At 43.7% G+C, this 11,911-nt stretch overlaps 1 pseudogene across 1 annotated transcript in view; it reads left to right on the top strand.

Annotated features, from left to right (window-relative positions):
• The first annotated feature begins 8,128 nt into the window (after positions 1-8,128).
• Positions 8,129-11,911, top strand: part of GUCY2GP (guanylate cyclase 2G, pseudogene) — a 48,418-nt pseudogene continuing 44,635 nt past the window's right edge. Inside the window, exons 1-2 of the transcript NR_028134.1 lie at positions 8,129-8,503; positions 10,550-10,882. The product of NR_028134.1 is annotated as a guanylate cyclase 2G, pseudogene (transcript). The remainder of the gene's footprint in view (positions 8,504-10,549; positions 10,883-11,911) is intronic.

Genomic DNA, 11,911 nt, shown 5'->3' with positions numbered 1-11,911 from the left:
TTTTGAGCTTAGGTGGTCTTGAGTCTAGAGCCCAAGCACATATCTGTGACTGCGTACCATCCGTTCCAAGACCCCCTAGCAAACTGGTGTGTTTATATATGCGTTTCTTTTCAGAATTTTTACTGGTCTCTCAAAGAAAACTAAGACCCATTGCCCTACAGGAAGCCAGACCCAATACCAGACATGTGGACCGGATGCCAAGGGTCCGGCCCCCTCGAGAAGGGGTCCCTAGCAGCCTGGACATCCTGCCTGCTGCAGAGCCCATTACCAACTCAGAGCCTTGCTTCACTTCACTGGAGGGGCCAATGCTCCACGGGTCCCAGCTGTGCGACCCCCTAGCTCTTTCTTCTTAGCCGTCTGCTATGCGGCAAGGGCTCACAGCTCCATTCTGGGCCCTGTAGTGAACCCTGCACCATGGGAACATCACAGGGTATGAGGAAGAAGCTGACCCCACAGCTCAGCGATGGCAGCAACTCTTTCTCTTAACTGTAGCTGCTGATATCAATTGCTTGGGCATGCATGCTCTTGAGAACACGTGCTTACTCTTCGTGGGAAGAAAGTGTTACCCAAGTGTGAGCACTTGGCTGACAAGAATGTTGTTTGCCCAGATTACAATAAAAAGCTCCCCCAACCCCAGGCACCCCTCCCCTTTCTTGAACCACACACCCAAAGCAAATTGCCTTTCAGCCTTAGATTTGAGCTTTCCAATGGGTGGGGCATGACACATGACACATGGAAGGGCCAGTAGACACTGATCACCCTCAACCCTCGGGATGTGCTCGTGAACAGCCCCATCTCAGCCTTTTTTTTTTTTTTATCCCCCTGAGGTGGAGCCTCGCCCTGTTGCCCAGGCAGGAGTACAGTGGTGTGATCTCAGCTCACCGCAACTTCCGCCTTCCAGGTCCAAGCGATTCTCCCACCTGAGCCTCCCAAGTAGCTGGGATTACAGGTACCTGCCACCACACCGGGCTAATTTTTGTATTTTTAGTAGGGAAGGGGTTTCGCCATGTTGGCCCGGCCAGTCTCAAACTCCTGACCAGGTGATCTGCCCGCCTCGGCCCCTCAAAGTGCTGGGATTATGGGCGTGAGACACCGTGCCCGGCCCCATCTCAGGCTTTAAGTATGCTGAATAAATATTATTCTCAGTGTCATGATGTAGGCAGCTTGTTCCTTTATCAGCAAGAGCTTCCAAAGAGCATTAAAGAATCAGATAGACAGAACTGAGGCCACTGAGAGAGGTGTCAAGTTGAAATTCCCAGAACCTTCAACACCCCATAGGAAACATCGCTATCTCCCAGGGGATTAAAAGGGTGGCTCAGAGTGAAAATTTACTGTTCAATACTATAACCACTAACTACACGTGGCTACTGAGCAGTTGAAATGAGGCAAGTCTAAATTGAGAGGTGTTTAAGTATAAAACACACACCAAATTTTCCAGATGTGGTATAAAGAAAATAACATAAAATCTCAATGTTTAAAATACTGATTATGTGTTGAAATTATAATATTTAGGATACTCTTGATAAGTAATCTTAACTGCTATTTTTACTTTTTTAAATGTGTGTGCTAGAAAATTTTAAATAATATATGTTACTCGTGTTATTTTTTTGGACAGTGCTGATTTAGAAACTAAAGGCCCTGGCCAGGCGTGGTGACTCACGCCAGTAATCACGGCATTTTAGGAGGCCAAGGTTGGCGGGTCACTTGAGGTCGGGAGTTTGAGACCAGCCTGGCCTGAGGCATGAGAATAGCTTGAACCTGGAAGGCAGAGGTTGCAGTGAGCCAAGATCACGCCACTGCACGCCAGCCTGGGTGACAGAGTGAGACTCAGTCTAAAAAAAATAAAAAAGACAAAGAAACCAAAGGCCCTTTGACTTAATGCCTACAGAATATAAGCAAAAGGTAGTGTTGCCCAGTGGCAGCAATGAACATGTTGTAATTGTTCTGGGAGAACTTTTTTCCCCCTAAAAACCAGCCAGAGCTTCATCATCCCATGTAATGCTTGAAAACTATGTATATGCCTGTATATATTAGCAATTATAAATCCAGGCATCTTCAGAAACCTGTCCCAGCAACATCTTTTACCTGTTCCTCTGGTTTCTGCAGCAGCAGCAATTTGTTCCTTAGGGTCAACACAGAATCCATCCAACAGACTTTATGATCTTTTGCCTGGAGCAATAAACCTTTATTATAAAACTGCTACCACTTACTGGCTATTGTTACATGCCAGGCACTATGCTGTGTATTTTACATTTACTACTTCATTTAATCCTTGCAAAAGGTTGTCAGAGTAATTACGAATGAGGAAATTGGGTTCAGATAATACATAACTTGTCCATGCCAGCTTTTCTCATTCCAAAACCTGTGCTTACAGCCATTCTGCGACACTGCCTTCTACAGGAAGGTAGTGGGAGAAGCCGGGGTTCCTGTGCCATAGATAGGAATACCAGTATTCTGGGGGGATGTCAGCACCTCCCTCCTTTTCAAGCCTTTAAGGATATTATCCTCTGCCTTGCAAGCTTTCTTTCCCTGGGCTCACAGCCTGGGGACAGACACACCACGTGCTTGGCTCAAGAGCCTTTACCAGGAGCAGAGAGGAAATGCCAGGAAGTGGGAGGGCTCCTGGTTTCTCCAGACAAGAAACTGGAGAGGGCGGAGGAGTCAGGGACATCCTGTCTCACTTTAGATGTATGGCTATCCACCAGAAAGAAGCTGCCAGATGCCAAGCCCAGTGCCACAAAGGTCGCCAATTTACACAGATGGAGAAACATTCTGTGGGTCAAGAGTGTGTCATCACCAGAGAAAGATGGATTAGTACATATTTTTTCTTTTTTTTTTTTTTTTGAGGAGTCTTGCTCTGTTGCCCAGGCTGGAGTGCATTGGCATGATCTCTGCTCACTGCAACCTCTGCTTCCCGGTTTCAAGTGATTCTCCTGCCTCAGCCTCCTGAGTAGCTGGGATTACAGGCATCTGCCACTATGCCTGGCTAATTTTTGTGTTTTTAGTAGAGATGTGGTTTCACCATGTTGACCAAGCTGGATTCAAACTCCTGACCTCAGGTGATCTGCCTGCGTCAGCTTCCCAAAGTGCTGGGATTACAGGCGTGAGCCACCGCTCCCGGCCAGGACACATTCTTTATTTGCTCAGTGTTTGGGACACTATGACAGCAAAAGTGTCTTGGCAAACCTAAAATTTTATGGAAAGTGGCTTTGGAATTAATGGCATCACTGTTAGTCATTCCGTATCTTTGAATACTGAGTACCTGGAGCAGGTGGTTGCTTCTCCTCCTCACAACCTCTGAAAGTTTTTGCTCTTCATGCCAAGGCATAATGGGGGCAGGAGGAGGAGCAGAGACTACGAAATAGTAGGAACAGAGACTGTGAAATAAATATTCAGAAATCTGGCATTTAGGCCAGACTAGCCTGCTACCCCGGAGATTATAGTGATATCTGGGAGAACACTTCGTTGTTTAAAGTATTGCTTAAAGCCTCAAATTTGTTCAGGTGTCAAAGACTCATTCCTTTAGGACAAAGGTATGAGAAAGTCTGTTTCAGCCACACAGGATAAATAGCAGATGACTGAAGCACAGAGGAGACAGGCAGGGCTTCCAGGAGGGAGGAATTTTCTTCTCTTGGCACAAACGTTTTCAGAAACAAGACCAGAGCGTTCTTGTCAGTCAGCCAAGGCCACACCTCATCCTCAGCTTTGTAGGAGTCGTGGGTGCCTGTGTGCATCATTACTGACAGGATTTGCATCCTGGGGATTTTGTTTTGTTGCAGCCCTAAGAGCCATGATCTTCCAGTTTGATCTTAACTCTGCTTTCCTCTGGCTCCTCAAACTTTTGCTTAGTAGAAGCTGCATCTTCAGAACCGGCACCATAGCTGTTTGTAAGAGCTGAGAACACAAGGGGAAGTTTGCAGTTCACACCCTGATAGGTCACAGCCATGTTTACTTGCTCTTATTTCTAGAATAGTGAGTACGCGGTGTGCTCTACCTTTAGGAATGTCCCCGTTAGGAACCTGTAAGCCCGAACTGAAGAGAACCTTGCTGTCATCACCCAGCAGGGCCCCCAGGAATACTGTCTTCCATTTGTTAGGAATCCACCAGAGGCCTAGTATCTTAGGGCAGGAGGCTGGTAAGGTCAGAGCTCTCTGCCCTCTGCCTTTTTCCCATTTCACAGATAAGGAAACTGACGCTCAGGTAGTCTTACGGACTTGCTGAAGCCTTTTCCAGGAATGCACCGGTAGGTGCTCCCTTTGCCTCTCCCCCAGTGTGATCACAGGCTCATCGCATTGCATTCCACTTAGGTCAAGCACCTTTTTCTGCCTCTCACCTTTTCCCTGGGGGAGAAGTAGAGCCCAAACATGCCAAACCTTTACTTTTCACCTAAACTTGATCAGGCCACTGATTTAGAAATTGAAGGGAGGCAGGCAGAAAGAGGGAGCTGGAGGAAGGAGAGCTAGAAAGTTGCTAGAGGTTTTACTAAAACCCACCATCCTGGATACAGCTCATCTTATCTGACCTAGGACGCCGAACAGCTGGCCTTGCATCTAGTTTATAGACTAGGCTGGTCACTATTGAGGAAGCCACAAATCAGGCAGAAAGAACCCTCCCTCGGTAATAGTCTCTTCAGGAAGCAGAGATGGGACAAAGTAGCAAGGAATTAAAGAGTTACCCCAGGCAGAGGGGGCTGCACTTTGAACCTCTGCTGGCCACGCACAGACAACTTCTGTTCCAAAGCACCATCCGATGAAATAGCATGGCCTCTCCTAATCATAAGGGTAACTTCTAGGCCTAAGAATCCCCTAGAAGGAAGGAGGGCTGGGGAGCAAAATAGAGGACAGTGTGCCCCCTCCAGCAGCCACAGTCCTTACAACACCCACCGCCCCCCAACCTGGTTTTAACCTCAGGCTTTCCATTCCAGCCAATCAAAGGCATCACACAAATTGGGCTAGTAACAATGGCAATGCTTTTCCAGCTCATAATGGCCATTACCTGAACCGCTGCATCTCTGTCTCTGAGGGCAATGGAGAAATGGAAGGGGCTGAGCTCAGCAGAGAATAATTAGGGCCTACGGAGGTAAGCCAGGTGTCTGTAAGTGTGGGGTGCTCCTGAACTGAGCGATTAAGGCAGTATGAATTTAGCCTTCTGTGTTGATCCTTCAGAAGTACAATTCTGTAGGGTTTATTTTTAATTAAAATATTCACTTTTCTTTCTTATTGCAAAGAGATTAAGACAAAAAATGAAAATTAATATAAACAAAGCAAGGACAAACCACCCCTAATTCCTATGACACAGAGCGAGCCACTTTTAGTGGTTTGTTGTATGTAATCTTTCCTTTTGAAAAAAAAAACAAAATGGAATACTAATATATATTATTGTATGATGTGCTTCATCAGTTAGCAATACACTGCGGCTATCTTTCTAAGAGAATATATATATATTTATATATAGATATATAGATAGATATCTATTTATATATAGATATATATGTATAGAGATATATATAGATACATATTTATATAGATAAATAGATACATATTTATCTATGTTTGCGGTTCACACCCTGACAGGTCACAGACACGTTTACTTGCTCTTATTTCTGGAATAGTGAGTACACGGTGTGCTCTACCTTCAGGAATGTTCCCATTAGGAACCTGTAAGCCCGAACTGAAGAGAAATTTGCTGTCATCACTCAGCAGGGCCCCCAGGAATATATATATATATAGAAATATATATATAATAATATATAGAAATATATATATAATATATATAGAAATATACATAATATATCTATATGTATTTCTACATATATAAAATATTATTTTTAGTGATTGCATGCCACTCAGTCATATGAATTCACTACATGTTATTTATCCTGGTCTCTCTGTTGGACAATGAAGCTTGTGTCTAAATTTTGACTGTTAGAAATAACACTGTGTTTAAATCTGATCATATGATTTTATTTATTTGTAATAAATCCCCCAAATTAGAGTTTTGAGTCCAATATGCACACATTCTTAAAGTTTGGTGCATATTGAAGAACTGCTGTTAATGAACATTCCTACCAGCCAGTGTATGTCTGTTTCTTAAACTCCCAACAACACTGAACATCATCAGTATTTTCTTCTGGTTTTGACCATGCTCACTTGTAAGCATTTAAGAATACAAAATACTTATACTTGTTATGATTAATATTAATTTGCTTGTCTAGAGGCCTAATACTGTGCTGAATATTAGGATCCAAAAAAGACACACACAGTCACCTGGCTCAAAGATTCTCAGGACAAAGACAATCTGTAAACACAAAGAATCAGAAATGACCCAGTGTGGGAATACAAATCAAAGAAAGTATACATATGGAAGGTGGGGGAGGGAACAAAAAGTGCATAGATAACATATTGTTTCCAGTGTTCTAGTTTTGAGACCATGACATGTGCAATGACACATCTATTAACAGAATTCCTTTACTGATTCCTAATAATTGTGAGGCACCATTCTAAGTAATCATGCAATCTCACAGTATCTTTATAGCATCCTTCCAGGAGGGGTGTTACTCTGCTCATTTTGACTTTCAGGAAACTGAGGCACAGATTTAACTGACTTGTCCAACATCATGTAAGCATCTGAGCCAAAAATGATTCATGGGATTTTGCTTATGGTTCCAGTGAGTTTTTGGACTCAGATGATTTTGCAAATTGACTCCAAGCCGTCCTAGCAGAGGAGACAGAGAAACTGCAGGTCAGTGAAGAAGCAGTTATGATGAATTTGGTTTGGAGAAAAGCAACTCCCCTAATCCATGGGTTTAGAAATGGCCCTCTGAGATAGCCAAAGCTAAGTCTCCTTAATTCCATCCTGGGGGCTTGCTCCTCAAGGAAGATAAGTAGAGAATAGCTATTGGCTATTCTTTCCCTCTTCTCACTTCAGTCTGCCAGGGGTTCTCATACTTTAGTGTACTTAGGGATATATGAGGACCTGTTAAACATGGATTCCCAGAGCAACCTCAAAACATTCTGGTTCAGAGGGTCTGGAGTGAAGCCCTGGAATCTTCATTTCTAACCATCAGGAGAGACTGAGGTAGGTGGTCCTTAGATCAAGACTTGAGACTCATAGCGAGTCGACTGTGCTCACATAATACTGAGATGAACGTGAGATGCCAGCCCCTTCCCTGCCAGAGTAATCAGAAAGCAAGCCCACAGTAGGTGGGAATTCAACCCTTTATATTCATGTGGATTTTCCTGGCTGATAGCTGGGCCATCTTACTTGGCAGTAGCAATGGCTTCTCAAGGGTCCTGTCATCCCTGTGATATTTCAGACAATTGAGAGCTGCCCCCAGCTCCTTGCCCTGACCTGTGTAGAGGGAGGGTTAGTATTTCATGCATCAATAACCAATCTCAAGCGCCCTAAAGGCCTGGGTGAGGGATACAGACTGTGTCAACCTTTCAGTAAACCTTATAGCCATAAGCTTACTTATTTCATAAAAATTTCCTAGAAGATGGAATCAGGAAGTGATAATTATTATCACTATTACTGGGATCATCATCATCATCAACACCATTGTCAAATCTAATACTGATGGACTGGCTCTCTTTGCCCAGGTATTTTGCCAAGGGCTAGTCTTGTATGATCTCTTTTAATCTTTACCATATCACTTCACGGAAGACCTTATTACAGTTTTATCCCTGTTTTACAGAGCAGGAGATTAAGGCATAGAAAGGGGAAGTAATATGTTCTAGGTCACTCAACTAATGTGTGATGGAGTCAGAATTCCAGCCCGGGCCATCTGACTCCATTTGAGTCATTTCTGTGGTTCTTATTTTACCGGTGGAGAGGGACAGAGGGGTCATGTGACTTGCCCAGGAATGTGAAGTTTGTCAGGGATGTCACTGGATCAATCACCAGGACCCTGCTGACTAGCTGCCTTGGCCTCCTTCTGCAAGGCTGCTGCTTCTAGATGGTATTAAGACAGACTCAGAAAAGGGAGAGTTTCGGTTAATTAATGGCACTGAATAGAAAGCAAGCTGTGATCCTCGGGGAACTCTACACTGTCATGTAAGTTCCTGGCGTGAGTAATCAGGAGGCTGAGCCTCTCACAGTTCTGCAGTGACACAGGTGTTACATGCCATCCATGGCTCTCAAACCATGTCTTGAGGCCCCAATTGAGTCTGGGCTCTGTTCAGGGATTGAATGTCATGCTGAGCACCCAACACTAGTTCTGATGCTCTTTGCCAGTGTGCTGGTGACTTGCCTTGAGGCTGCTAAACTCACCGTAGGCTTCCAGACCCCCTGGAACATCTCCCATCCATTCAGCATGCAAAGGCTGGGTGCAGGCCTCCAGATTGCCATGGACAAGGTCAACTCAGAGCTAGTGGACCTTGGAAATTTCACCACTTACACCAACTCAGCCTGCAGCACCAAGGAGTCTCTTGCTATTTTCAACAACCAGGTCCAGAACGAACAGATTTCTGCCCTGTTTGGACCAGCATGCCCAGAAGCAGCTGAGGTAGAGTATATATAGCCTCTGGAAACTTTAAGTTTCCATTGGAAGGGGTGGCCTTCAAGATGATGGTACAGATTTGAGTAATCTCCTGACAAGGATCACATTATTATAACAATAACCGTGTAGATCTTGAATATCATTTTTGAGATGCAATTAGTCTATGTAATTAGAAGAGTTAACATTCTCTTTAAAGAAAGCCTTTCTTTCTTTCTTTTTTTTTTTAATGCTCTGTTGTCCAGGCTGGAGTGCAGTGGCATGATCTTGGCTCACTGCAGCCTCTGCCTCCCAAGTTTAAGCGATTCTTCCATCTCAGCCTCCCGAGTAGCTGGGATTACAGGAGTGCCCCACCATGCTCAGCTAATTTTTGTATTTTTAATAGAGACAGGGTTTCATCATGTTGTCCGGGCTGCTCTCAAACTCCTGACCTCAGGTGATCCACTGGTCTCGGCCTCCTAAAGTGCTGGGATTACAGGCGTGAGCCACCACATATGGCCAGAAAGCCTTTCAAATCAATAATTGTTTATTCACCTACCCTCTTCCTCCTCTTGTTGACTGTCTGAAGTTGATGCTATTGTGTATAGACTCTTATAGTTCACTCTCATGTTCCTAAGCTACAAAGCTTAGGAAAATTAAGAAGAAAAAAATGCAGCCAGGCGCAGTGGCTCACGCCTGTAATCCCAGCACTTTGGGAGGCCAAGGAGGGTGGATCACGAGGTCAGGAAATGGAGACCATTCTGGCTAACACAGTGAAACCCCGTCTCTACTAAAAAAAAATACAAAAAAATTAGCCGGGCATGGTGGCGCATGCCTGTAGTCCCAGCTCCTCGGGAGGCTAAGGCAGGAGAATGGCGTGAACCCGGAGGCAGAGCTTGCAGTGAGCCGAGATTGTGCCACTGCACTCCAGCCTGGGTGACACAGCAAGACTCCGTCTCAAAAAATAAATAAATAAATAAATAAATAAATAAATAAAAGAAGAAGAAGAAGAAACAAATGCTTGGTTTTAAATAGAAAACTATCAATTGTTTGAGTAGGCTTTTCTTTGGCGTATATAATAAATTAATCAGTGATAATGCAAGTCAATGAGAAAGAATCAAGTATGGCAGCCTACCTTACCTACAGCAAGAAAATGAGGGAAATGAATGACTTGTATTTGTTTGGTTGTTGGGATGAACTTTGTTGGTGTCCTTCAGTATCATGTCGCCTGAAAAGTGTTGATGCAAAAGGTGAACAGGAAGGAGCAGCACAGGTCTTACTCTCAACAATGTTGCAGAACTATCATTAGCTGGAGCTGCAGAATTAAGTTTACATTTAAATTGGACCCATTCTCTCCTGGAATTCCCCATCTGACACATTTCTATCTGTTCAAGGGTTACTTGTCTAAGAGTTAATATCAAATGTCATGGAGCCTTTCTTTATCCCTTCACCTCTGCCCTCCTTATCCCTAATTCCCCAATCGAAAGTAATTGTTTACTTCTCTAAATGCCTATAAATCTATTATCTATGCATCTTAAAGAATATATTTAATCTTAAAGCTATTTTTTATATACCTTGGTTCTTGTAATAAACCATGAGCTCCTTCAAGAGCAAGGTCTCCAAAGATTTTTATATGTGATAGGCCCCTAATTAAAATGAATGAAAAATGAATAAAGGAGAAATTAAGAAAGAGAGAATGAGTAGTTATGACTGTGGGCCATGGAACCATATTACCTAATTTCCAACCCTGCTCCACTATTTGCTAGCTATGTAACTTACATCTCTGTGTCTTCCTGTTTTATCTTAAAGAGGGGGTAATAATACCTAGAAATGTTGTGAAAGTTGAAATGACACATGTAAGCTCCTAGAGTGCTCGGCACAGAGTAAGTGCTCAATTGATGCTCGCTTTCGTTATCTTTGTTCTATGAGGCTGACGTTGTCATCAACATTACAAAAGCGAGGGCCCAGTATGACCCACAGACTCACAGAATCTGACGTTTATGCAGATGTCTCACACTGGGGTTTGCGTGTACATAAACTCAATTATACAAAGACATCCTTTGGGTTATTTTCAAGGTTATCGGCTTGCTGGCCTCTGAGTGGAACACCCCATGTTTGACTTTGTTGGACAAACCACAAAACTGTCTGACACCTGTGTGAAACTTGTGTCACCCAAGCAGGACATTGGTGATGTGCTCCAGGAAAGTCTCCAGTACCTGGGCTGGAAACACATTGGGATGTTTGGAGGCTACTCTGGGGCTTCCTCCTGGGATGGAGTGGATGAACTGTGGAGGGTTGTAGAGAATGAACTCAAATCCCATTTTATCATCACTGCCAGCATGAGATACACCAACAATAGTCTAGTCCTTCTTCAAGAGCATCTTTGGAGGATATCATCAATTGCCAGGGGTAAGTAGAAAAGTCTTCTGTTGCTTTTATTTGGAGAGAAAAATGGGACAAGCAGATTTGAAAAAAAAAAAAACAACCCAAAAAACTCTTCACTTTTCTATGAGTGTAAAAGCAGATGGAAACAAGGTACAAAATTAATAATATATAAAAGCAACTTCCTTTATTGCTTGACATCACTAACAAAAAATTGTGGGTTTTTTTTTTTGGTCTAAAGTAAAACCCCACATGCTACAGTGTTATGATACACAGCGCAAGTTCTAGAAGCATCTTACAGGTGGGCTGGGTCCTGGACTTCACTATTTGTTTACAGCATGGGCTCTGCAGATTGACAGACCTAGGTTTGAATCCAGTCTCTGACATTTTAGCTGTGTCCTCCTTGGGTAAGTACCTTAATCTCTCTGTATCTCAAATATCTTTTCTATAAAATGGAGACAACCATCCTACCTATGTCACAGAAAGGGGAGGATTAAATAAGGTTATGCCTGTAAAGTGCTTAGCACCATGTCTGGACAAGTAGTTGGTCAACATATGACAGCAATTATTTTTGTGGTGATGCCTATAAGGCTCAACTTTCTAGCATGAATTAGTAACTGACTCCTTTCTGTTCCTCAAATAAACTGAACTCTCTCCAGCCCTGAGACTTTAGGGTTTTCTACTCCCTTGGCCTAGGGTGTCACCTGCACCCACTCCAACCAGTGATGCTAATGTGGGACTCTAAGGCACAAGTGGCTCTCACTTGTTTTTCTTCCACAGCTACCTCCCTGTGTCCCTGTTGAATCTCTAATAAAGGGCTTGAAAGACCAACACTGATCCAATGAGGCAATTGTTATGTGGTCTCAGTCACATTCCACCCTACCCAGCACCTTCTTAAGGGTAGCGTCCTCTCATCCTTGCATCCTTGCCGACTGGGTCCAGAGCCCACCTCCTCAGGAAGGCCTTCTCTAACCACTTGATGTGAAGCTGTTTCCCCTCCCCACCCATTAGCATCACAGCATCCGTTTCCAACCTCACTAATTAGAATCTTCAATG

The sequence above is a fragment of the Homo sapiens genome, chromosome 10 (genome assembly GCF_000001405.40).
Source record: "Homo sapiens chromosome 10, GRCh38.p14 Primary Assembly".
NCBI lineage: Eukaryota > Metazoa > Chordata > Mammalia > Primates > Hominidae > Homo > Homo sapiens.
Note: the sequence above shows the minus strand (reverse complement) of the source record. Positions and strands in the feature narration are given on the sequence as shown.